The 27,694-nt window shown below is 36.3% G+C and overlaps 1 protein-coding gene across 8 annotated transcripts in view, besides 1 other annotated feature; it reads left to right on the forward strand.

Moving 5' to 3' along the window:
* Window positions 1–27,694, forward strand: part of MALRD1 (MAM and LDL receptor class A domain containing 1) — a 687,552-nt gene that overhangs the window by 35,089 nt on the left and 624,769 nt on the right. For 7 of the 8 annotated variants that reach the window (XM_011519453.3, XM_011519455.3, XM_011519454.2 and 4 more), the window contains 3 exons: window positions 5,825–5,919; window positions 6,009–6,170; window positions 21,964–22,060. In XM_011519453.3, coding sequence (XP_011517755.1) covers window positions 5,825–5,919; window positions 6,009–6,170; window positions 21,964–22,060 — 354 coding nt within the window. Of the gene's footprint in view, window positions 1–2,531; window positions 2,771–5,824; window positions 5,920–6,008; window positions 6,171–21,963; window positions 22,061–27,694 lie in introns of all 8 variants that reach the window. The other variant, XM_017016182.1, reaches the window with a different exon arrangement.
* Window positions 11,673–12,252: an enhancer, noted in NCBI's record as "H3K27ac-H3K4me1 hESC enhancer chr10:19382617-19383196 (GRCh37/hg19 assembly coordinates)". NCBI's record gives its function as "activates a minimal SCP1, AML or CMV promoter by ChIP-STARR-seq in naive H9 embryonic stem cells {active_cell/tissue: H9 hESC(naive)}" and the evidence as "EXISTENCE:reporter gene assay evidence [ECO:0000049][PMID:30033119]".

A 27,694-nucleotide genomic window follows, 5' to 3' on the forward strand; every position in this document is an offset into this window, starting at 1 on the left:
CCTATCATCAGAGCGATATGTTGTTTGTTGCCATTTTGCTACTTGTTTTCTGTATGACTTATTTTTTTCTTATTACTCTATTCCTCCATTACTACCTTATTTTGTTAAATAGATGTTTTCTAGTGTATTATATTAATATCCTTTTCTTTTTTTACTATATATTTTTGAATTATTTTATTAGTTGTTGCCCTAGGGATTACATTTAACATTTTAATTTACAACAACTTAGGTTGGATTAATGCCAATGTAATTTTAATAATATACAAAAAATTTGATCTTATATAGTTCTGTTCACTTCTTCTTTATGCTGTTATTGCCACAAATTACATCATTACATATTGTGCCCATAGCCTAAGTTATTATTATTGATTTTTATCAGTTATATAATTGATTATAATAATTATTGATTATATAATATCTACCTGTTTATTGATGTCCTCTATTTTATGACACATTATTCTTATGATTTCTGTAGTTCTTTATATATGGTTTTCCTTAGCTCTTTGAAAACATTTGACATAGCTGATTTAAAGTCTTTGTCTAATAAGTCTGGTCTTTCTCAGAGACATTGTGTATTGATTGCTTTGCTTTTTTTCTCTCTGCATGGGAGATATCTTCTTGTTTCTTTGCATTTCTCACTTTAAAAAAAAACCTGGACATTTAAAACAATATACTCTTGGACCTCTGGAAATCAGATGCTCACTCTCCCAAAAACTCCCACACATTTGCTTCTGTTACTGTTTGTTGTAGTTATAGTTGTTTTGTTTGTTGTTAATTTAGTGACTTTACTGAGAGTCTCTTAGATGTCACTGTCTTAGTCAATTTTGGCTGCTAGAACAAAATGCCATAAACTGAGTAGATTATAAACAATGGAAATTTATTTCTCACAGTTCTATAGGCTGGGAAGTCCAAGATCAAGGCACTGGCAGATTCAAGTGTCTGATGAAGGACGACTTCCTGGTTCATAAGACAGTACTATCCTGCTGTGTTCTCACATGGTGGAAGGGGCAAAGCAAATCTCGAGGCCTTCTTTTATAAAGGAGTTAAATCCATCCATGAGGACTCTACCTTCAGAGTCTACTCACCTCCCAAAAGTCTCATCTTCAAAGATTATGTTTCCACATATGAATGTGTGTGTGTGCAGGGGCACAAACTTTCAGACAAAAGCAGCCTGGGACCAATAAATCTCTATGTTTTGCTGAGGGATTCTGTGTGTATGTTGGGGTGCACTTTCCATGCTCATCCAGGCAGCTGATAACTCTGCATTAGTTTCCATTTCCTGCTTTCATAGAGCCTCAATATCAGCCAGATGTTAGGGCTTAGGGTCTTTTCAGGTATTTCCAGAGCATGTGCACAGCCCTACACATGCACATGTCTGGCTAGATTTGCAGGAATATGTTGGAACTTTTTAAACTCCCTATCGATGTCTCATTCTATTAGTTTATTATTTTCACTAACTGTTACACACTGCCTCAGGTGACTATGAAGTTATAACACTTGCTGGTAATTGTTTTCAACAAACCCCTTATGTAGAAAAAGCATTTTATACTGAGCAAGCTATTATTATGTCAATTTCAGATGGCATTTTAATTGTGGTCTTTCAGAGAACCAAAAGACAGGTCAAATAATACAATTGTTTGAGAATGAGGCTTTGAAAAAGGTCTAGCACCATTTTACTCATTCTTGTGGCTGCCAGGCTTCACATGAATGCAAGCTGCTATTTTTCAAAGTTAAATGTGAAACTGGAGAGTGGGCAATGAGACTAGGGCAAGTTAAAGCCCATAAAACTCACCATTTTTTAAAACTGAGATTTAGCCATTTGTTGAATAAAAGCCCTCCAAATTACCAAAAAGCTTTGGCTAATTTCCAGAGTTCCAGACAAGTTGATTCTGACATTTTTGCCAGTTTTAAAATTCATTTTGTGGGGGAAAAAGTTTCAGAGATCTCTATTCTGGTGTTTTCATTAACAATACTCTTGTGGTTTATTACATATTTTATGATCTCCTAAAGCGACTCACATAGCCCTTTGTCACTGAAGTCAGACATAAGTTGATATGGCAGCATCCATGTACAACTTGTAGTAATGATAAGGGATTACTATTTTAGGGTATTCTTTAAGTGATACCATTTTAGCAAATATTACCTGGTTCTGTTGAGCTTGCTAGCTTAATAAATTGGTATGAGTCAAAACGTATGATTCAAAGGAAACAGAATTTAATAAATAGACAGAAATTATCAACTTGAAGAGGTTTGTATCTAAGACTACTATTTGCTCTCTATTATCCGAACTAAACTATGTGTTTGTCAGAAATTAGTGCACTTTCATATTTCTATAAGTTTTGACATGTTAACATTTGCTTCAAGCCTTGGATCTTGTTTTGATGATCCATTCCTACAGCCTGATTTTTTTTTAATGTTCTTGAGAACTGATATTATCTCACTATTAAAATGCTCCTTTTTTGAATTCCTTTGAGCCAATTGGTTACTCTGTAGCATGCAACAGGATTTATGTTTCTCCTGCTCACATTCAGGTCCATTAATCTCTCAGAACGTGGGAAATGGAGGAAGTACAAGGCTGCCCATCAATGGTTGAGGAAAGTGAGACCGAAAATTCTACCTTATCTTTCCTGAAGATCAAGGTTGATGGGATTCACTGCCAAAGTTATTGGATTTAGCTCTCAATCCTTGATTCATGGTTTTTGTTGCTTTCATATTTTATATACCTCCTTTTTTGTCATCAAACTTGGGATTTCATTCCAAAACTTAACCAGTAACTGAGAAAAAGTATTTTTAAAAGTCCTCTAACGTAAACATTTAAGACTATAAATGAAATTATGCTATTTATGTTATTTTGTCATTTTAATAATTAACTATTTGTCACAAGATTATGTTACATATGTGTTTCAAAGACATTATGCATTGACTTTCATGAATGCAGGCACAACGTGGGAATTTAAGTATCATGTAAACAAGCTATAATGAGGATGGTGTAGAGATTAATAGAGATATATGATGATAATGGTGATTATGTGTTTGCATGTGGTATGTGTATTACTAGGCTGCTAAAGGAAGTACAAGAGGTTTATAGAGAGAATATTCAATATAAACTTTGTTGTTCAAGAGCTTCATGCAGTCTATTCTGGCTGGTTAGAGCTGTAGTAAAGGGGAGTGTTAAATGAGGGAATGGTCATGTGGAGAAAAGTTATGCTGTCAAAGATTTGCCTTTTTCTCTTAAACTCATAAACAGCCATGATGAAAAATGTTCTCTGGAAAGCCAGGGAACTTTCTATGAAGTGACATTTTTCTCTAGGGAACATCTCCATCTGTGAATTAAAGAAATTCTATACTCATACTAAAGGAGCAAGGTAAAATGAAGTACACACTAAAAAAAATTGTGATTGTCACTAAGTTAAAATTAAACATAGAAAACAGATATTGCCACTGGGTGCATTTTGAACAATTTTTTCCCCATACAAAGAAAAAAGTTTATTACTAGAAAAAATGTCAAAAGATATCAAGCTGTTTCTGAATTTAAACCTTTACTTTCTACTATAACCTGAAGATTAACCTTTATTGAATATTTGATAAAATACAGAATAATTTATAGTGCCATAACACATACCAAATGACAAAGTTTTTATTTATAAAACACTGTTTAAATATTAAATAATTTACTCATGTGTGAGTTGAAAAATATCACTGAAAAATGCTACTTTTATTATTTAATAACTTAATGTGTCAAATCTGATTTTTAATATCAAGCTTTTAAAAATATATATGAATAATTTAGGTAATATCGTTGACAAATAAAAATAATTTTTCTGTTTATCTCAGGGATTCTTTTTAGTAGTTGAATATTTATAAACAATAATTTAGAGCCGACTGAATGCTATTACCATTTGTATTGCTAATAGTATTATTTAAACCTAAAATAATATATGCATATGGCTGATTATGCGTATTTGATTAGTCACTTGCTTAACATTTGTTTACCTGCTGCAAGAGCCAACTAATGATAGTCCACTTGCATCACCATGATACCCGCTCTTCATCTAAATTGTGTTTACATAATAATTCCAGTAAGTATATTCTTAGAATAATTGTGTTATTACAGTTACTTCAGTTATGTCTCTGACTATATTCATAAGCAATCGTTAATATCACTGTTTGCTGCTTAATTAGGATGCAATTTTGGAATAGGAGTAGGGAAGAGAGGTTTCTTCCTTAGGTCTCATAATTTTACTATTGATTCTTTTAATGATGTGACAATTAGATTTTATTTCCAATCTGGCTTTAAAATACCACTGAATAACTTAGGTAGCTATGTCATCATAGACATCATCATCATATTTCTCATTCCTTTTGACAAAGAGAAGCACATGAAATAGAGTGGCAGAAAACAATGGTTCTCAGATTATATGCTAGAACTCACAATAAAGCATCACAGGAAATCTATGAGAGCCCAGGGAATGCTCAACATTTATTTTACAGGCTTCTAAACCATGAGAGTCCACTGGTTTTATCCGTACTGCAGTGCATTTGAAAGCATCTGGGCTCAGAGTTGTTTTCCTTAATCCTAGGAAAAGCTGGGACTATCTGATCCAACTCTTTCTGAACAAAAGCACAGTGAGCAATGATCTCTTCTAAAGCTGTACGAGTTGAAGAAGGAAGAAAGAAACATGAAAAGTGGCTCATCAGTCAGAAACAGGTTTATTTTAAAGAATGAACCTGAGAGGGGCCTCTGGCCGAGTTAGGTCAAGAGCCCTCTCTCTTACAGACTAAGAGTATTTTAGGGTTCAGGATGGGCGAGCTTATCACAGGCTCAGAATGTTTCTGTGTCTCTTTGTCTTGCTTATCTGAGAGGGAGAGTTTTGTGTCTGTTCCCATACATCTTTCTGCAGCTGCAGGCATACCCCCCAAGTCTGCTTTTAGCTTCCCTATGTTAGTGAACTTAAAGAGAAAGGAATGTGCTTATTAGGGCCCACTGTTGTACTTGGGCCCATTGTATGAGTGTGAAGTTTGGTCTTTACACCATACAGCTATCTTATCTGTATTTTACTGTCTGCTCTTTCTAGCTGCTTGTTGTTAGAAGTGATTTCTTTGAAATGCATAAGGTTAGAAAGGGAGCTGGAACTTAAAATGGTGGTGTTTGTCCAAGATGATGGTGCTCCTGCTCTGTCAAAAGTCTTCATCGAATTGCTTATTTTGGTAGGCAGTCCTAATAGTATAATGTTTTCGCTAGATAGCATCTTTGCAGGGATGTACCTTTGTCTGTTAAATGTGATAAATTGGGTTGCGAACTGTAGCCCATAATCATATTATAGGGAGTATATAATTGCAATTAGCTATGTCACTGGGCAACATAAGGAAGTAAAAATATCAGATGGTTTGCAAAAGTAAATGATGTGGTTAAATTATTTGTTCTTTAAACAAAAAAAATTATTAATCTAGTGAGGATGTGGGCCTGAATTATCACTTGGCGCCTTAAATTCACCAGTGATCACTCTGAATCTAACACGTTGTCTCGTTTCTTTTTTTTTTTTTTAAGTTTTGTAGGTACACAGTAGATGTGTATATCTATGGGGTACATGAGATGTTTTGATACAGGTATCCAATGCGTAATAATCACATCATGGAGAATGGGGTATCCATCCCCTAAGCATTGATCTTTTATGTTACAAACAATCCAATCACGCTCTTTTAGTTATTTTTGAATGTACAGTGAAATTATTATTGACTATAGTCATCCCATTTTGCTATCAAATAGTAGGTCTTATTCATTCTTTCTGGTTTTTTTTTGTACCCTGTCTCTTCTTTCTGATAGCTCACTTCCTCTCACTGGTTTCCAGAGTGGATTCTATTTCCTCAAGTTTAAGAAGCAGAGTTTTCCTTCCAACAAATGATCAACATGACTGCCAGGTATTTGAAAGCACACAGCATTTTAAATATTTTGTCACATTTGGGGACTTCTTTATCATAATTGTTTGGGTACTAATTGTCTTTCACAGATTACATTTTATTACTTCTCCTGCCAAGTGAGTGGCAAATTAATGGTTGGGCTTCAAACTGCATGTGGAGGTCCTATTCAGCATTTATGGCAAAACACAGCTGCACTCCCAAATCAGTGGGAGAGAAATGTCATCAAAATCCAGAGTTCACAGAGATTTCAGGTATGTGTGTTCTATTTTCTAACTATGGCCTTGAAGAAAAATAAGATACAGATCTTTAACACCAGGTGAACTAAAAGTAAGGCAACTGTCCCAGTTTGCCAGGGACTGAGGGATTTCCCAGGACTTTCAAATGCTGAAAGTGGACATCTCAGGCAATTTGGGATGGCTAGTCACCCTAAAAGACACTTTTACAATAAGGTTTTGAATTTTATGTATTAAAACTAAAGTTGGTGTATTTTAAGGCATACTAATATATCAGTAAAATATAACCTTTTAATTTTCTCCTAATTTCTTGAACCCCCTCCATTTTCCTCTCTACTTTTCTTACTGCTCCAACTTCCTCTTTCTTTCTTTTTTTTTTTTTTTTATTTTATAAAGTTTTTTTTTATTTATTTATTTATTTATTTTTTTTTATTATACTCTAAGTTTTAGGGTACATGTGCACATTGTGCAGGTTAGTTACATATGTATACATGTGCCATGCTGGTGCGCTGCACCCACTAACGTGTCATCTAGCATTAGGTATATCTCCCAATGCTATCCCTCCCCCCTCCCCCAACCCCACCACAGTCCCCAGAGTGTGATATTCCCCTTCCTGTGTCCATGTGATCTCATTGTTCAATTCCCACCTATGAGTGAGAATATGCGGTGTTTGGTTTTTTGTTCTTGCGATAGTTTACTGAGAATGATGGTTTCCAATTTCATCCATGTCCCTACAAAGGACATGAACTCATCATTTTTTATGGCTGCATAGTATTCCATGGTGTATATGTGCCACATTTTCTTAATCCAGTCTATCATTGTTGGACATTTGGGTTGGTTCCAAGTCTTTGCTATTGTGAATAGTGCCGCAATAAACATACGTGTGCATGTGTCTTTATAGCAGCATGATTTATAGTCCTTTGGGTATATACCCAGTAATGGGATGGCTGGGCCAAATGGTATTTCTAGTTCTAGATCCCTGAGGAATCGCCACACTGACTTCCACAATGGTTGAACTAGTTTACAGTCCCACCAACAGTGTAAAAGTGTTCCTATTTCTCCACATCCTCTCCAGCACCTGTTGTTTCCTGACTTTTTAATGATTGCCATTCTAACTGGTGTGAGATGGTATCTCATTGTGGTTTTGATTTGCATTTCTCTGATGGCCAGTGATGATGAGCATTTCTTCATGTGTTTTTTGGCTGCATAAATGTCTTCTTTTGAGAAGTGTCTGTTCATGTCCTTCACCCACTTTTTGATGGGGTTGTTTGTTTTTTTCTTGTAAATTTGTTTGAGTTCATTGTAGATTCTGGATATTAGCCCTTTGTCAGATGAGTAGGTTGTGAAAATTTTCTCCCATGTTGTAGATTGCCTGTTCACTCTGATGGTAGTTTCTTTTGCTGTGCAGAAGCTCTTTAGTTGAATTAGATCCCATTTGTCAATTTTGTCTTTTGTTGCCATTGCTTTTGGTGTTTTGGACATGAAGTCCTTGCCCACGCCTATGTCCTGAATGGTAATGCCTAGGTTTTCTTCTAGGGTTTTTATGGTTTTAGGTCTAACGTTTAAATCTTTAATCCATCTTGAATTGATTTTTGTATAAGGTGTAAGGAAGGGATCCAGTTTCAGCTTTCTACATATGGCTAGCCAGTTTTCCCAGCACCATTTATTAAATAGGGAATCCTTTCCCCATTGCTTGTTTTTCTCAGGTTTGTCAAAGATCACATAGTTGTAGATATGCGGCATTATTTCTGAGGGCTCTGTTCTGTTCCATTGATCTATATCTCTGTTTTGGTACCAGTACCATGCTGTTTTGGTTACTGTAGCCTTGTAGTATAGTTTGAAGTCAGGTAGTGTGATGCCTCCAGCTTTGTTCTTTTGGCTTAGGATTGACTTGGCGATGCCGGCTCTTTTTTGGTTCCATATGAACTTTAAAGTAGTTTTTTCCAATTCTGTGAAGAAAGTCATTGGTAGCTTGATGGGGATGGCATTGAATCTGTAAATTACCTTGGGCAGTATGGCCATTTTCACAATATTGATTCTTCCTACCCATGAGCATGGAATGTTCTTCCATTTGTTTGTGTCCTCTTTTATTTCCTTGAGCAGTGGTTTGTAGTTCTCCTTGAAGAGGTCCTTCACATCCCTTGTAAGTTGGATTCCTAGGTATTTTATTCTCTTTGAAGCAATTGTGAATGGGAGTTCACTCATGATTTGGCTCTCTGTTTGTCTGTTGTTGGTGTATAAGAATGCTTGTGATTTTTGTACATTGATTTTGTATCCTGAGACTTTGCTGAAGTTGCTTATCAGCTTAAGGAGATTTTGGGTTGAGACGATGGGGTTTTCTAGATAAACAATCATGTCGTCTGCAAACAGGGACAATTTGACTTCCTCTTTTCCTAATTGAATACCCTTTATTTCCTTCTCCTGCCTGATTGCCCTGGCCAGAACTTCCAACACTATGTTGAATAGGAGTGGTGAGAGAGGGCATCCCTGTCTTGTGCCAGTTTTCAAAGGGAATGCTTCCAGTTTTTGCCCATTCAATATGATATTGGCTGTGGGTTTGTCATAGATAGCTCTTATTATTTTGAAATACGTCCCATCAATACCTAATTTATTGAGAGTTTTTAGCATGAAGGGTTGTTGAATTTTGTCAAAGGCTTTTTCTGCATCTATTGAGATAATCATGTGGTTTTTGTCTTTGGCTCTGTTTATATGCTGGATTACATTTATTGATTTGCGTATATTGAACCAGCCTTGCATCCCAGGGATGAAGCCCACTTGATCATGGTGGATAAGCTTTTTGATGTGCTGCTGGATTCGGTTTGCCAGTATTTTATTGAGGATTTTTGCATCAATGTTCATCAAGGATATTGGTCTAAAATTCTCTTTTTTGGTTGTGTCTCTGCCCGGCTTTGGTATCAGGATGATGCTGGCCTCATAAAATGAGTTAGGGAGGATTCCCTCTTTTTCTATTGATTGGAATAGTTTCAGAAGGAATGGTACCAGTTCCTCCTTGTACCTCTGGTAGAATTCGGCTGTGAATCCATCTGGTCCTGGACTCTTTTTGGTTGGTAAACTATTGATTATTGCCACAATTTCAGAGCCTGTTATTGGTCTATTCAGAGATTCAACTTCTTCCTGGTTTAGTCTTGGGAGAGTGTATGTGTCGAGGAATGTATCCATTTCTTCTAGATTTTCTAGTTTATTTGCGTAGAGGTGTTTGTAGTATTCTCTGATGGTAGTTTGTATTTCTGTGGGATCGATGGTGATATCCCCTTTATCATTTTTTATTGTGTCTATTTGATTCTTCTCTCTTTTTTTCTTTATTAGTCTTGCTAGCGGTCTATCAATTTTGTTGATCCTTTCAAAAAACCAGCTCCTGGATTCATTGATTTTTTGAAGGGTTTTTTGTGTCTCTATTTCCTTCAGTTCTGCTCTGATTTTAGTTATTTCTTGCCTTCTGCTAGCTTTTGAATGAGTTTGCTCTTGCTTTTCTAGTTCTTTTAATTGTGATGTTAGGGTGTCAATTTTGGATCTTTCCTGCTTTCTCTTGTAGGCATTTAGTGCTATAAATTTCCCTGTACACACTGCTTTGAATGTGTCCCAGAGATTCTGGTATGTGGTGTCTTTGTTCTCGTTGGTTTCAAAGAACATCTTTATTTCTGCCTTCATTTCATTATGTACCCAGTAGTCATTCAGGAGCAGTTTGTTCAGTTTCCATGTAGTTGAGCGGCTTTGAGTGAGATTCTTAATCCTGAGTTCTAGTTTGATTGCAGTGTGGTCTGAGAGATAGTTTGTTATAATTTCTGTTCTTTTACATTTGCTGAGGAGAGCTTTACTTCCAACTATGTGGTCAATTTTGGAATAGGTGTGGTGTGGTGCTGAAAAAAATGTATATTCTGTTGATTTGGGGTGGAGAGTTCTGTAGATGTCTATTAGGTCCGCTTGGTGCAGAGCTGAGTTCAATTCCTGGGTATCCTTGTTGACTTTCTGTCTCATTGATCTGTCTAATGTTGACAGTGGGGTGTTAAAGTCTCCCATTATTAATGTGTGGGAGTCTAAGTCTCTTTGTAGGTCACTCAGGACTTGCTTTATGAATCTGGGTGCTCCTGTATTGGGTGCATAAATATTTAGGATAGTTAGCTCCTCTTGTTGAATTGATCCCTTTACCATTATGTAATGGCCTTCTTTGTCTCTTTTGATCTTTGTTGGTTTAAAGTCTGTTTTATCAGAGACTAGGATTGCAACCCCTGCCTTTTTTTGTTTTCCATTGGCTTGGTAGATCTTCCTCCATCCTTTTATTTTGAGCCTATGTGTGTCTCTGCACGTGAGATGGGTTTCCTGAATACAGCACACTGATGGGTCTTGACTCTTTATCCAACTTGCCAGTCTGTGTCTTTTAATTGCAGAATTTAGTCCATTTATATTTAAAGTTAATATTGTTATGTGTGAATTTGATCCTGTCATTATGATGTTAGCTGGTGATTTTGCTCATTAGTTGATGCAGTTTCTTCCTAGTCTTGATGGTCTTTACATTTTGGCATGATTTTGCAGTGGCTGGTACCGGTTGTTCCTTTCCATATTTAGCGCTTCCTTCAGGAGCTCTTTTAGGGCAGGCCTGGTGGTGACAAAATCTCTCAGCATTTGCTTGTCTATAAAGTATTTTATTTCTCCTTCACTTATGAAGCTTAGTTTGGCTGGATATGAAATTCTGGGTTGAAAATTCTTTTCTTTAAGAATGTTGAATATTGGCCCCCACTCTCTTCTGGCTTGTAGGGTTTCTGCCGAGAGATCCGCTGTTAGTCTGATGGGCTTTCCTTTGAGGGTAACCCGACCTTTCTCTCTGGCTGCCCTTAACATTTTTTCCTTCATTTCAACTTTGGTGAATCTGATAATTATGTGTCTTGGAGTTGCTCTTCTCGAGGAGTATCTTTGTGGTGTTCTCTGTATTTCCTGAATCTGAACGTTGGCCTGCCTTGCTAGATTGGGGAAGTTCTCCTGGATAATATCCTGCAGAGTGTTTTCCAACTTGGTTCCATTCTCCACATCACTTTCAGGTACACCAATCAGACGTAGATTTGGTCTTTTCACATAGTCCCATATTTCTTGGAGGCTTTGCTCATTTCTTTTTATTCTTTTTTCTCTAAACTTCCCTTCTCGCTTCATTTCATTCATTTCATCTTCCATTGCTGATACCCTTTCTTCCAGTTGATCGCATCGGCTCCTGAGGCTTCTGCATTCTTCACGTAGTTCTCGAGCCTTGGTTTTCAGCTCCATCAGCTCCTTTAAGCACTTCTCTGTATTGGTTATTCTAGTTATACATTCTTCTAAATTTTTTTCAAAGTTTTCAACTTCTTTGCCTTTGGTTTGAATGTCCTCCCGTAGCTCAGAGTAATTTGATCGTCTGAAGCCTTCTTCTCTCAGCTCGTCAAAATCATTCTCCATCCAGCTTTGTTCCGTTGCTGGTGAGGAACTGCGTTCCTTTGGAGGAGGAGAGGCGCTCTGTGTTTTAGAGTTTCCAGTTTTTCTGTTCTGTTTTTTCCCCATCTTTGTGGTTTTATCTACTTTTGGTCTTTGATGATGGTGATGTACAGATGGGTTTTCGGTGTAGATGTCCTTTCTGGTTGTTAGTTTTCCTTCTAACAGACAGGACCCTCAGCTGCAGGTCTGTTGGAATACCCTGCCGTGTGAGGTGTCAGTGTGCCCCTGCTGGGGGGGTGCCTCCCAGTTAGGCTGCTCGGGGGTCAGGGGTCAGGGACCCACTTGAGGAGGCAGTCTGCCCGTTCTCAGATCTCCAGCTGTGTGCTGGGAGAACCACTGCTGTCTTCAAAGCTGTCAGACAGGGACATTTAAGTCTGCAGAGGTTACTGCTGTCTTTTTGTTTGTCTGTGCCCTGCCCCCAGAGGTGGAGCCTACAGAGGCAGGCAGGCCTCCTTGAGCTGTGGTGGGCTCCACCCAGTTGGAGCTTCCCGGCTGCTTTGTTTACCTAAGCAAGCCTGGGCAATGGCGGGCGCCCCTCCCCCAGCCTCGTTGCTGCCTTTCAGTTTGATCTCAGACTGCTGTGCTAGCAATCAGCGAGATTCCGTGGGCATAGGACCCTCTGAGCCAGGTGTGGGATATAGTCTCGTGGTGCGCCGTTTTTTAAGCCGATCTGAAAAGCGCAATATTCGGGTGGGAGTGACCCGATTTTCCAGGTGCGTCCGTCACCCCTTTCTTTGACTCGGAAAGGGAACTCCCTGACCCCTTGCGCTTCCCAGGTGAGGCAATGCCTCGCCCTGCTTCGGCTCGCGCACGGTGTGCACACACACTGGCCTGCGCCCACTGTCTGGCACTCCCTAGTGAGATGAACCCGGTACCTCAGATGGAAATGCAGAAATCACCCGTCTTCTGCGTCGCTCACGCTGGGAGCTGTAGACCGGAGCTGTTCCTATTTGGCCATCTTGGCTCCTCCCCCAACTTCCTCTTTCCTTTCATTTCTTTTTCCTTCCAGACTTTTCTCATGCTTTTGAGAAAAGGGAATGCTGGGTAATGAGGAAGGAGACTGTTTAAATACTTATTCCAAATGCTGTTGAAGTAGAATAATTGTCATATTCATTTCATAGATAAACTTAACACAGTCTTTATTTTCTAAAGTAATTTAGAGAATTAAAGCCAATGCAAGCCTATAAAACACAAACTTATTTATGCAGCCTAATAAAACTTATGCATGGTCGAAATGATAATCTAATGATTATTACCAGTTCTTGAAGAATTATTGCCTATTTTAACATTTGGGACAATCAAACAAAATTTTCCTGTTAAACATGAGATTTTAAAGCATTTTATTCCTTAAAACTTTCTAATCTTGCTCTGTGAGTCAATTTAACCCAAGTTGGTTTTTTTATCATCTGTTATTAGAATGATATAATAATTTCATAAATTTGATATAAATCATATCATTTGTTATATGGTAGATTTAGCACTTGCTTAAATATAGAGATTAAATTGGATTCAATTTTACGTTCGATTCTTTTGAGTGCCTAAGAGGAAAAGAATGGCTAAATGAACAGGATATTCATTGTAAAAGTTGAATTATAAGATATAGGAATGGCATAGTTTCTTAATTGATTGGTTGTAAATCACTATAATTTGGAATTTTCAGGCTTCAATAAACTTAATGAGGGTCAAAAGAAGGCTACAAAAAATCCCTTAACAGATGGTTAAATGACACCCGTATGGCACGACTTCAGAGAAACTCCCATTGGAAACACTAACCAGAGACTGAGACTGTACTCTGTTGAAGTCAAATATCAGTGTTGGGAGTGTGGGTGGTTAGAAAATCATCTTAAGCCATCAGGCACTTAAGTCTTTCTATCAACAATTCATTCATTCACTTAAGAAAGATTAATTTGGGGCTCTTGGATGTGGTAGGTACAATGAAGGGAAGGTTCCCTACACCATGTTAAGGGAAGATGATTGATAGGTATGGGGAGGGGATACTATGTGTCCCTGGGCCCTGAAGACGTCTGTGACTTTCAAGGGTTGTGGTATGCAGAATGAGTACCCCCGAGCACCAATAATGTATTTAATTTGCTGTGGATGCTCAAGTGTTATTAACCGCTGGAGAAGTTATTTTATTTCTTAAACTTCTCAATTCCCTGTGTCTGCTTGTTGTCTCAACAACGACAACAAAAGCAACAAAACCAGGCCAAGATTGTGTTTATGGGGATTGAGTCACATTGAGTAGACGCTGAAGGATGATCTTGCTGAAGTTCCATCTCTCTCCGTTCTTGCAGATATTTAATAAGTGAGATGAGAATCTTATCTATGGGTCCACTCCATCATCATTTACACATCTTTTTCAACTTTGAAACAGAGCTGATGGTATGGGAGTCTTAAATTACTTTTGCCAAGCTTTGTGCCTTTTTAGACGTGTCTATGTTTTTTGATCAAGGTCTCTATAAGAAGCATAAGATATTAGAGTGTTGAGTAGAGCTGGAACTTGCTATATCTTGTAGGTCAAACCTTTCAAAATAACGTCCTTGTTTTGCTCAGCTTCCTATTCTCAAGTGATACATCCTGAGTTCTGATGATTAAATATGTGCAGTAGATCAATAAAAAAACGTAAAACTCCAGAATATGTAATATCCAGGGTGATTCGGCTGTAGCTGAGACAGCAAGGTTATTCACTTGAGTGCTTTAAATGTACCAGTGGCTTCAACTAAAGCAGATACGTGTGCAATATATTAATTTTATATCCCAAAATACGTTATTGCTGATGTGAAAACAGTGTGTTTACCTTAAAGGCTTTGCAAAAATTAGGAAACCATACGACTCTCTCGGGATCCTTCGGCTACACCAGCCTTTTCGGATTGCAGGTATGCTTTAGTTCTATCCTGTCAGCAAGTGAGCAGATGTTCATTTGCTTTTGTTTGGTGGGCCACAGAGAAGTGCTGTGCTTGTAAAACAGCCTGCCACCATCTAATAACTCACTCCTGAAAAGATTTTGTGAGGGGCTTATTCAAGGGAATTCTGTAATCAGAGTCTCCAGACAGCATCTGCTGCCTCAAGAACTTACAAGCCTCTCAGAATTATTTCATTGTCTGCCATTTCCTTTCCATGCTGGCTTCTAATAGCTTAAAAGCCATGCATCCTTCCTTTAAAAATGTCCAAATAGGCGATTTCGGTCCCAGCTGGATCCCAGCTTAGCACGGGCTTTGGAGAAAGCCTCTGCAGCTGACTCTCACCTGGGGGCTTTATCACCTCCATCTGTGAAGGACTAGGTCTCTCCTTTAATGAAATTGAAGCAGGTTAACTTCTGAGGGAATGCTGCTGCATACACAAGGATTGCTATTTATCTACTTAGCAAAGACGGAAGCATTTCAGAGAGTTTCTGAAGATATTTAAGGAATAATAACAACTAAAATTTCTTTAGCACTTACTATGTGTAAGGCACTATGTTTACTTCTTTGGATACATAATTTTATTGACCCTTCACAAAAATCCTCTAAGGTAGAAAGATGATTTACTTCATAATTCACTGAGAATTACAAGCTTTAGAGAGTTAAATAACCTACTAAATCCCATACCAGCTTAGACTCTAGGGTAGTTTGATTTCAGATCTCAATTACTGAGTCACTGAGCCATAATAATGTTTTTATTATGTTAAAGCATTACAGGGGTTTAGAATACATAGCGGAAAAAAAAGCCCAACCTCTAGTTTGGTCAAATCTGAAGTGTATGACTCATTAAATATTCTTTTGTCTGCTGTGCTGGGTAAAACAACAATTTTAGGCATTGCATGCTGCTGATTAATCGCAATCACATTTTTAAAAAATTGCAGACAGAAGCAATTAATTTTACTGTTGTCCTAAAATGTTCAAGGAGACAAAGAATAAAACGAACTAAACATACAGTAGAAATGTAGTCCCCAATTCAGGTGAAACCTTCTTTTGTCAGAGGCATTAGTACCAGAGTGACCCCATCTTGAGTGAGGGCTAGGAAAATGAGCTTTCTGTGTTGCATTTCCAGAAAGCTAGGTATTCCTAGCCTCTAGATGTTTACTGTTAAGGGACCAGATTGATAACATTTACTAAACAGACCTGGACTTGGGAGTGTCCTGGTATCCCGATACATTGAGAACAAAATCATTCCTAATTTTGCTTTAAAGATAATAATGTCGATTCTTGCAAAACATAGTAATTAAGAAAATTAATCCTTTATCACAAAAGATTGTAGCAGAGCACATCTCCCCATGATCTTTTTTTATCCTGTGTATAAACATGTATTGTACCTAGGGTGGACGCGTTCCTCCTCTTACTTTCGGGAACACCCTGCTCTGTCTATTGAGTGGCCATTCTTTTATCCCTCTACTTTCTTAAGAAACTTGCTTTCACTTTATGGACATTCTCTCAATTCTTTCTTGCACAAGATCCAAGACCCTCTCTTGGGGTCTGGATCGGGACTTCTTTTCGGTAACACTTTCACTCCTTTTTGTTGTTGTTCTTGAAGGACGCTCATGTAACGGTTTTATGGGTAAGAAGGAATGAATACTATAGCTTACTACTAAGTATATCACTGACTATAATTTTCACGTTGAATGTCTGGATTGTTAAACTAAATGAACAATCAGTGCCTTAAGTATAAAAAGATACTGAAGCATTTTTAACATGCTATTATTTACTTTTCATTTCTTTGATATTTCATCGAGAAATGCTGAAGAGTTCTCAGCAGCCTCCTATTTAGAAAGAATAGAATTTATTAATAAAGACAAAAGATGAGCTTTGCATTAAAAAATGTAAATTTTAATCTTAACTCTTAAAATTCTACCCTCACTCTTCAAAATCATTATCCGAGGTATTTTCCCTTTTAATTCAATAATATTTATGATAACATATGATGAGGAAATAATTACTCTCATCATTTTGTGTCTCAAATGTTTGCTTGGGAAATAAATGGAATGTATACTACTAATTAAGAAAACTCTTACATAATACATATAACCGTAAGTGTTTTTAATGTTTATACTCACTCTGAAGCAGCCTCGTTGTCTGGGGCTATACCTGAGGTTCATTGTTTCATGCCAAGGAAATCAAAGACGTGAACATACAAGGAGTGAGGTTAAGAATGGAGGTTTAATAGGTGAAAGAAAGAGAAGAGCTCTCTCCTGCAGAGAGAGGGGTCCTGAATGGGTTTCCAGTCCATGGCGAAATGCAGGGGGTTTTATAGATGAGCTTGAGGAAGCGGTGTCTGATTTACATAGGGCACTAAAGATTGGTCAGACTAGGTGTGTTATTTGCATAAGGCACAAAAAACTGATTGGGGTAGGTGTGCCGTTTGCATAGGGCACAAAAAGCTGGCCTTTCCCACACTAATATTTTATTATGCAAATGGGTTCTCTAACTGGCTGGTGCCATGTTGCCCGTTTCTTTACTGTGCATGTGGTAATAAAAGGGAAGACGGAGCTTCTATATTGGTTATGCCTGGCCCCCAGGTAGCCTTTTTTTATTGGCACAACTGCCGGCATTCACCCGTGCAAGCTTCCAGTTTGCTTATCTATGTTTACAGCTCGATTTTTCAGGCTGCTATTTGTTATAAAAAGTAATTTATTGGGCTGCTTTTTGGTAGAAGGGAAGCCTTGCCAAGGACTCTTTTACCCTCACTATCTGCCTAAATAATTTCTTTCTAGCTCCTGTATCAATGCCATCCAGATAGTATTATCCATCGGTCATCACCATTTCCTCTGACATTTAAATCAAGTGGCTTGAGTGCTGACCACTTACGTCTATTCAGAGGTCATCTATCTTCTCTTAAAATGTTTGGGGTGAAAGGAATTTGTTTCATGTTCACTGTTGGATTAGTGCAGGCTGTGCCTGACTTCTGTGGTATAGGAACTCCATGATCTCTCCTATGATCCACTTTTATTTTGCTGCTTTGCTCCTTTATATGTATATATATTATTCTCCAACATTATTAAAATGAGGTGGGTGTTTGGGAAATAATCTTGCTGATGTTTTGGAGAAAACAAAGAATGTTAGATACTACTTTTCCTAAAAATAAAACTACCATACACCAACACAGCTCTGACCAGGACCCTCCATAGAACCTATATATATATATATTTTTTTTAATTTTTTTTGCCAGATGGAATCTCACTCTGTCACCCAGGTTGGCATACAGTGGCACCATCTCAGATTGCAACCTCTGCCTCCCGGGTTCAAGCGATTCTCCTGCCTCAGCCTCCCGAGGCTGGGATTACAGGTGTGTACCACCACACCTGGCTAATTTTTGTATTTTTAATTGAGATGGGGTTTCGCCATGTTGGCCAGGTTAGTCTCGAACTCCTGACCTCAGGTGATCCGCCTGCCTTGGCCTCCCAAAGTATTGGGATTATAGGTGTGAACCACCATAATAATAAATTTTTTTCTTTTTTTTAATCATCCTGGGGTTCCACTTTCTTTAGCTAATTTTCCAGATTGTAACCCAAATCCTTGTCAACTCTTTTCATTTAAATCTGTCTAGCTAGACTATTTAATTATGCCTGATGTGTCTTGTGTTTTACAGCCACATAGACACATTGGTAAATTTCCCTCCACTTCGAGAAATATTTATTTCCCTAAGAAAAATGTTCCTTCCTGCTAGGCTAGGGGACTCAAATGGCAGCGAATTTTCAAAATAACGTTTCATCAGTTATACCAAGTTAACATGTAATTTAACAGAATCAAATAAACATATAATATCTATGGCAAACTCTAATAAGGAGAGGATTACAGCAAGAAAGTAATTTAAAAGCTGCTTCAGTAGTCCAGGGTGAGGAGATGGGAGAGGAAATAAGAATGAAAGGAAAATAGGGATTAATGGAGCTTATCTCATTGGAAATGAGAATGGAAGAGAAAGGAACTCTCAAGGTCATTTTGGAGTTTTGAGCATTGGAGAGCAGCTTTCTTCTGGTACCACTGTCAGGAAATGAGAGTGAGATGAGAGCTCCAATCCGAGGAGAAAGGACAAAGTGTTTTGAATTATAAATGACTTGTGTCATCTGAGTGAAAATGTCCAGCAGGCTGTGGAAACTGGGAAGGAGAGTTCAGGAGAGAGATGAACATTTGTTATGTAAGTTTCTGATTTATCAACCCTGAAGAGGAATGGTGTTTTTTTTTGGTGAGGAGTGTGGAGAAAAAAAACCAGAGACATGTGATATAGTTAACACTTACTTCTACTTCTTTTTTAAACTATGGTGACTGCAGGCGTATCCTTAACTCAGCAACAGCTAGGGACTATCTCTATGAAAAAGCTTTCAGAAAGAATAAAATGTTAATTTGTAAAGAATAGATTTTTACCTACAAACACACAATTCATATAACAGCTTAAATATTTTAATAACTATGTTACAATAGCAGTAGTGAACATTATTTAATGCTAACTATATACCAGGTGCTGTTTTACATGTTCGCAACTCATTTTTCCTTATCATGTAAGCTATCATTTTATCATTACATTGTACAAAGAAGAAAACTGAGGTACAGAGATGTTAAATAAGTTCTCCAAGGTCCTGTTGCTATTAAGTGTTATACCAAGGAACTGAATCCAAATAGTTTGATTTGAAATACATATATATATATTCAAAATATATATAATATGTAATAAATATATAACATATATCTATATTATAAATAGATATTTTGAATCAAACTACTTGGATATATATAATATATGTAATTATATATTATATATAACCAACTTGGGTATGTATATTGTATTATTCATATATTATATATTATAATAATATATAATATAATAATTACATATTATATAATTTATATAATATAATTAATACTTGTATATTATATAAAATATATAGCATATGTATATCATTATATAATATATAATATTGATATTATAACATATAAAATATATAATATGTATATTGTATTATATATAATCTGTATATATAATACATAATTTTATGTATATATACATATATACATATGCAAAATATATACAATACATATACTATAGGTACATCTATGTATATAAGATATAGGTATATTATACATATATGTATATATAATATATATTCTATAATATATACATTATATCACATATATAATATATATTATAATATGTATATTATATTATTATATATCCAACTGGGATACATATAGAATAAATTTATAATATATAAATATGTTATATCTCTACTTGGAGATATATCTATAACGTATTTGTATATATTACAAATTTATTAATATATATTAATATATAATATATATTATATATAATCTCCAAGTAGTTTGATTAAAAATATCTGTATCTATATAATATATGTTAATTTATATATGTTATAATATAATTATAACATATATCTATATTATAATGTTTTAATTATAAACTATATTTAATTATAATCTATATTATAATATAATTATAACATATATATGGTATAACATATTATTATATCATATATGATATATGATATAAATTATATAATATATATTATATAACTATGTATATGATATAAAAATATATTTTTTGAAAAAATATCTTTTGAATCAAACTACTTGGTTTCAGATCCTAGCTATATCTTGGATTCAGATTCTAGCCATACTTTTAATCACTGTGTTATACTGCCTTTGTATAAAACTATCTCTACACAATAATCTTTGCCAGGCCTTTGCAAAATGGTTCTATTTTCTAAGTAGTTACACTTATTTTTGTATAAAGAAAATACGACTTTCTTAGGACTACCTATTGACAGATTTTTCTATAGGTTGTGGATGTTTCTCAGTGGACTTTTAATAGAGTGATAGGTAGCATATGGCTTGAAAGGAAATATATTGGTACAGCATATTGTACAGGGATGAAAGAATTTCCCATAGAAAAATGATCTGTTGTGTTTTGCTGCATCCAGATCAATTGTAAACCTAAAAATCTGGGCTGACTTCTTGAAAAATAAAATGTTTATGTTGTAAACAAGGTTGAATAATGCACATGTGTTCATCACATCCATGAACAAAGCCTCTAACATCAGTGATACTCATTAATAAGGGTGGGATAATGTCTGCCATCAACATGCCAATTTTCTATCGATTTAGTTAATTAGAAAATCGGAGACTGGCTTCTTTTTAAGTTTCTCAGATCAATCATACCAGAGTATCTTTTCTTAGCGGTGTCTTGGGCGGGCTCCACATCCTAATGTCACGTTCAGTCATTTCTTCTTTTTTTTTGAGAACAAGTCTTACTCTGTCACCTGGGCTGGAGTGTAGTGGTGCGATCTCTGCTCACTGCAACCTGCGCCTCCCGGTTCAAGCAATTCTCCTGTCTTAGCCTCCTGAGTATATGGGATTATAGGTGCCCGCCACCACTCCCAGCTAATTTTTTGTATTTTTAGTAGAGACGGGGTTTCACCATGTTTGCCCGGCTGGTCTAGAACTCCTGACCTCAAGTGATTCACCTGCCTCAGCCTCCCAAAGTGCTGGGATTACAGGCGTGAGGCACTGTGACAGGCCACGTTCAGTCATTTTAACAATAAGTCACAGAACAATCATTTCCAGTCGATGTTTAGATAATGGCAGAAAATGTGCAATAGGTTAGCATGAGGATGACATCTAAGGCAAGAGTCGATAAGATTTAGAGAACCGGCCAGGTGCGGTGGCTCAAGCCTGTAATCCCAACACTTTGGGAGGCCGAGGCGGGCAAATCACAAGGTCAGGAGATCGAGACCATCCTAGCTAACACGGTGAAACCCTGTCTCTACTAAAAATACAAAAAATTAGCCGGGCGCGGTGGTGGGCGCCTGTAGTCCCAGCTACTCGGGAGGCTGAGGCAGGAGAATGGCATGAATGTGGGAGGCGGAGCTTGTAGATCGTGCCACTGCACTCCGGCCTGGGTGAAAAAGCGAGACTCCGTCTCAAAAAAAAAAAAAATAAATAAAGATTTAGAGAACCAAAGGGGAAGATGGGACACAATTGCAAAATGCCAAGAACTGGAGCTCAGGATGGAGCATGGATCCAAAAGCAGGTAAATGCGAAACAGTGTGAACACATAGGAACTGAAAATAGGAGATGGTTGTAGGGAAAAATCTAGGTGAGTATTGCTGCATTTCACTATCATGTTACCTATCCTATGCCAGACATTTGAGATACAGTGATGACCCTGCATTTCTTTGTTTTTGAGAATGTTTGCTTTGATTTCTTTGCACCTGGAATTGGCATGGTCACCCAAGTGCTTCTAGAGAGTGACATGCTTCCTATTGCAGGCTCTCTTTTATAACACTGTGAGACAGTGATGTTCCTTGCTTTATGTTTTTGTTTTGTTTTGTTTTGTTTTTCTGGTGCAGGTTGTTTTTGAAGGTCAAATGGCTTCAACGTATGAACAGGATGAAGTCATTGCTATTGATGATATATCTTTCAGTTCAGGCTGCTTGCCTGCCAATGGTAAGAACTTTTTCTCTCATTTTGATCTTTACTGTGTTTAAAGATTTCAGTGCAATTTAAACATTGTGATGACTTTAATCTGCTGTTTATTTTTGTCTGATGTTTTCATGTGGGATATTTTTCGTTCTAATACATTGTATAACAGTGACTGGATCTATACTGGGAGTGAAGTTTGGCTGTTTTTCACTGACTGATGCTGTAAAGAACTGAATGGGATAATTTAGTCTCAAACTTGAAATCTTGTAGCAATGTTTACAACGGCTAAAGTTAAATCTTAACAAGAGAACTCTGTGCCTTCTAGGAGACTGGGAGAAAACTAGCCTCCATAGACTTGAAATTGTCTTCTTGGACAATTGGTTTGATTATTCTGCTGAAAGATACAAAATAGAGGTATTAGTTATAATCTATTTTCTATTTTGACACATCAATAAACTACATATATCAGATATAAATTTTTATTTATATTGTTCCTTTGATTATATTAACTAATATTCTATTCTTCATTTATATTATTCCAAAAACAATTCAATATTAAAATTAGAATAGCATAAAATACCAGGCTTAATCCAATAATAAAAAAGAGTCAGTCATATTGAAACCCATATATTTCAGGGTTTTAAGAATTTTGTTATATTGTGGCATGATATAACAGAATAAAGAAGGTATTTTGTAGATAAAGCTTCTGAGTTCAGTTTGGTACAAAGATATAGTTGTTGTGGTAAATGATATTTCAAGACAAGAAGAGATGTCTTCATCTACTTAAGAAAGACCATAGGATCTTGATATTGTGCTTGGTTTTTGAAAAGTTTTATTTTATTTTTAATTGACACATAATTGTATATATTTATGGGATACCATGTGATGTTAAATACATGTATCCATTGTGTAATGATTAAATCAGGGTATTTAACTTATTGGTTATTCCAAAAATTTATCTTCTCTTTGTAGTAAGAACATTTGAAATTCTCTCTATTAGTTATTTTGAAATAATATAATATCGTTAACTATACTGTGTAATAGAAAACCAGAATTTATTCCTCCAATCTCTCGGTAATTTCATACCCATTGACCAGTTTCTATACACACACCGTCCATGCTATCCTCCCCAGCCTCTGGTAACCACTATTCTACACTGTACTTCTATAAGATAGGCTTTTGAAAATTTTGCAGATGAGTAAGATAATGTGGTATTTGTTTTCCTGTGTCTGTCTTATTTTGTTTAATATATTCCAGATTCATCCATATTGTCACAAATGATAGGCTTTTATTCCTTTTATAGTTAAATAAAAAAGAATCCTATTGCATGTATGTTACCACATTTTCTTTATCCATTTGTCCATTGATGGACACTTAGGTTGATTTCATATCTTGGCTATTGTAAGTAGTTCTGCAGTAAACATGGGAATGCAAAAATCTCTTTGACAGAGATTGAATTCGTATCTCTTTGATTTCATTTTCTTTGGATAAATACTCAGAAGTGGGATTGCTGAGTCATTTGGTACTTCTATTTTCAACTTTTTGAGGAACCTCCATAATGTTCTATATGAGTGTACTAATCTACATTTCTACCAACAGTATATAAGTATTCCCATTTATCCACATCCGAACCAGCATTTATTAACTTTGACTTTTTGATAGTAGCCATTCTGACAAGTATGAGATGATATCACATTGTGGTTTTAATTTGCATTTCCCTGAGGATGAATGATGCTGATAATTTTTTTCATATTCTATTTATTGGTCATTTTTCTGAGAAATAGCTATTGAGGTTTTGTGTCCACTTTCAAATTTGATTATTTGAAAATGAGTTGTTTTGAGTTTCTTATATATTCTGAGAATTGACCCCTTATTAGATGCACAGTTTGCAAACATTGCCTCTGATCCTGTAGGTTGTCTCTTCACTCATTTGTTTCCTTTGTTGTACAGAAGATTTTTAGTTTGATGTAATCTCATTTTTTTAAAAGGACTGGTTTTATTTGTTTATTTATTCTATGAGTGAAATATTTTACATATTTATGGGGTACATGTGAGTTTGTTACATGCATAGAATGTATTCAGTCTCCCTTTATATTCTCTTCCCACCCACTCACCCTTCACAGCTTCTAGTATCTATCATTCTATTCTCTATTTCCATGAGATCAATTTGTTTTTAACTCTCACATATGAGTGAGAGGTTGTTAGTTATTTATTAAATGTTTGCTAGAATTTAGTAGTGAAGCCATCAGGTTCTGGGTTGTTCTTTGGTGGGAGACATTTTGTTACTGATTCTATCTGTTCAGATTTTCTCTTTCTTCAACTTTAGTAGGTTTTATGTGTCCAGGAATTTATCTATTTCTTCTAGGTTTTCCAGTTTATGGTTGTTCATAATGGTCTTTTATCCTTTGTATTTCTGTGCAACCAGTCATAATAGCTCCATTTTCATCTCTCATTTTATTTGAATCTTCTATCTTTTTTCCCTTAATCCAGCTATTGTTTGTCAATTTTGTTTATCTTTTTTAAAAAAACAACTTTTTGCTTTGTTGTCTTTGGTATTGCTTTGTTTAGTTTCTATTTCATTTAGGTCTGCTCTGATCTTTATTATTTATTTCCTTCTACTAATTTGGGGTTTAGTTTCTTCCTGTGTTTTCTAATTCCTTGAAGTACACATTAGGTTGTTTGAGCTCTTTCTAATATTTTGATGTAAGCATTTATTGGTATAAACTCCTCTCTTAGAATTGGTTTTGCTGTGTTCCTTAAGTTTTGGTAGGTTGTTTCTCCATCTTTATTTGTCTCAAGGAATATTTAAATGTTCTATTTAATTTCATCATTGGCTTATTTTGTTTTTCAGGGGTACGATTAATTTTCATGTATTTGTATAGTTTCCAAAGTTCATTTCATTGTTGAATTCTAGTTTTATTCCGTTTTGGCTGGAAAAGATAATTACTATGATTCTGACTTTTAAAAAATGGTTGAGACTTGTTTTGTGGCCTAACATTTGATATATCCTGGAGAAAATTCCATGTGCTGATGGGAAAATGTGTATTTTGTAATTATCGAGCAGAATGTTCTGCAAATATATTTTAGGTTTATTTGATCTAGAGTTCGGTTTAAATATCATGTTTCTTTGTTCATTTTCTGTCTGAATTATCCGTCCATTGCTGAAAGTAGGGAGTTAAAATCCCTTGCTATTATTGTATTGCAGTCTATCTATTTCTATACATCTAATAATGTTTGCTTTATATATTGGGAGGTCTAGTTTTGGGTGAATATATATTTACAAGTATTTTATCCTTTTTCTAAATGGATCCCTTTATCATTATATTACAACCATCATTATCCATTTTTTCAGTTTTCAAATTAAAGTCTATGTTATCTGATATAGTTATAGCTACTGCTGGTCTCTTTTGGTTTCTATTTGCATGAAATATTTTTATTCCATTCCTTTAGTTTCTCAGTCTATGGGTATTTTACAGGTGATGTGAGTCTCTTCTAGGCAGCATATAATTTGGTCTTTTTTTTTTTTTTAATCTACTCATCCACTCTATATATTTTGAAAATTTAATCCATTTACATTTAATGTTATTATTAACAGATAAGGCCCTACTCCTTTCATTTTAGTCGTTATTTTCTGGTTATTTTGTAGAAATTTGTTTCTTTCTTCTCTTGTTGTTTATCTTTGTGGTTTGGTGGTTTTCTATAGTGGTAAGCTTTGATTCTTTTCTATTTCTCATTTGTTTATCTGCTGTAATTTTTTTCTCTGTGGTTACCATGGGGCTTACATTTAAAAAATCTTATAGAAGACTATTTTAAACTGATAACAACTTAAATTTGGTTGCATGCAAATATTCTAGAATTTTACTGTCCTCCCACAATTTGTCTTTGACTTTTGGTAATATGATTATAATGTGTCTTAAAGAGGACATCTTTACATTGAATCTAAGGCAGACTTTGGGCTTTGTGGATATGGATGTTCATATTTGTCCCAAGGCTTGGGAGGTTTTTAACTATTATTTTAATAAGTAAGATTGCTGTGCCTTTCTTCATCTTTTCTCCCTCTGGAAATTGTATAATGCAAAACTTTGTCTGCTTAATGGTTTCCCATAGGTCACATAGGCTTTGCTTGCTGTTTTTCATTCTTTCTTCTTTTTTTCCCTCCTAAGCTATTTCAAAGACTTGTCTTCAAGTTCAGAACATCCTTGTTCTACTAGTGTGTTACTGACATCCTCAATTGTATTTTTTGTTTCATTTGTTGATATCCTCAGCTACAAGATTTCTGTCTTATAAATGATATCTCTTTGTTCAAATAATTATTGAGCTCATGAATTGTTTTTTCTTTTTTTTTTTTTTTTTTTTTTTTTTTTTTTTTTTTTTAAGACGGAGTCTCGCTCTGTCGCCCAGGCCGGACTGCGGACTGCAGTGGCGCAATCTCGGCTCACTGCAAGCTCCGCTTCCCGGGTTCACGCCATTCTCCTGCCTCAGCCTCCCGAGTAGCTGGGACTACAGGTGCCCGCCACCGCGCCCGGCTAATTTTTTGTATTTTTTTTAGTAGAGACGGGGTTTCACCTTGTTAGCCAGGATGGTCTCGATCTCCTGACCTCATGATCCACCCGCCTCGGCCTCCCAAAGTGCTGGGATTACAGGCGTGAGCCACCGCGCCCGGCCGTTTTTTCTAATTTTATTGAATTGTGTATATTCTCTTTTATCTCATTGAGTTACCTTAAAATTATTATTTTGAATTCCTTTTTGGGCAATATATAAATTTCCATTTTGGGTGGGGGTCAGGTACTGGAGAGTTATTGTGTTTCTTTGGTCGTATCATGTTTCTTTGCTTTTCTGTATTTCTTGTTTCCCTATGTTGATATCTGTGCAACTGGTGGAATAATTGCTCCTTCCAATTTTATAGAATGGCTTTCAGGGGGAAATATTTTCACCTGTGTTTTAGAGTATTGGTTAGATAGGGTACCTTTACTACACCTGTGCTTTAGAGTATTGGTTAGGTAGGGTACACTGACTTTGGTTCCATTTGGGCACAGTAGTGTAGTCTCAGAGTAATTTCTTCAGCTGTAGTCAACATCAGTAATACCTGAAGGTGTCTCATTGGCTCAGGTTATAGGAGTTTGTGCAGCTCCTTGGACAAGCTTCCCCACTGGGGGTGGGGATGCTGGGCTGTTCTGAATGCCAAGTGTGCATGAGAGCTGTTCTATTACTGGGTCAAGCGTTACCTCCCTGTCGGGGACAGAAGTGTTGGGCTGTTTCGTGTATTGAGGGTTTGTCAGGGCTGCTCCACTACCGGGTTGGGTGTGGCTTCTTTGCTGATGTTCATGGTGCCAGACTGTTTCACACACAAGGATGCATGAGGACTGCTCTATCTCCGGGTCAGTCATGACCTCCCTGGTTGGCAAGATTGCCTATAATTTGGGGGTAAAGACATCTCATAAGCTTGGCCACCGGGGTTGCAGCAGTACCACTAGGTATAGGCTTCAAATAGCTGGGATGGTGTGCTGCAGCCACTTGAATTTGAAGACTGGAATGCCTCCTGGCAATTTATTCACAGAAGTAGATAGCTATAGCTTCTTGGATGGAGAATGGCACACTACCAAGTGGGAGCACAGTGTAGTGCCAGCAGATCCTCATGGATGGGGAGATGCAGTGGCT

Source organism: Homo sapiens, chromosome 10 (assembly GCF_000001405.40).
Source record: "Homo sapiens chromosome 10, GRCh38.p14 Primary Assembly".
In the NCBI taxonomy this organism is placed as follows: domain Eukaryota; kingdom Metazoa; phylum Chordata; class Mammalia; order Primates; family Hominidae; genus Homo; species Homo sapiens.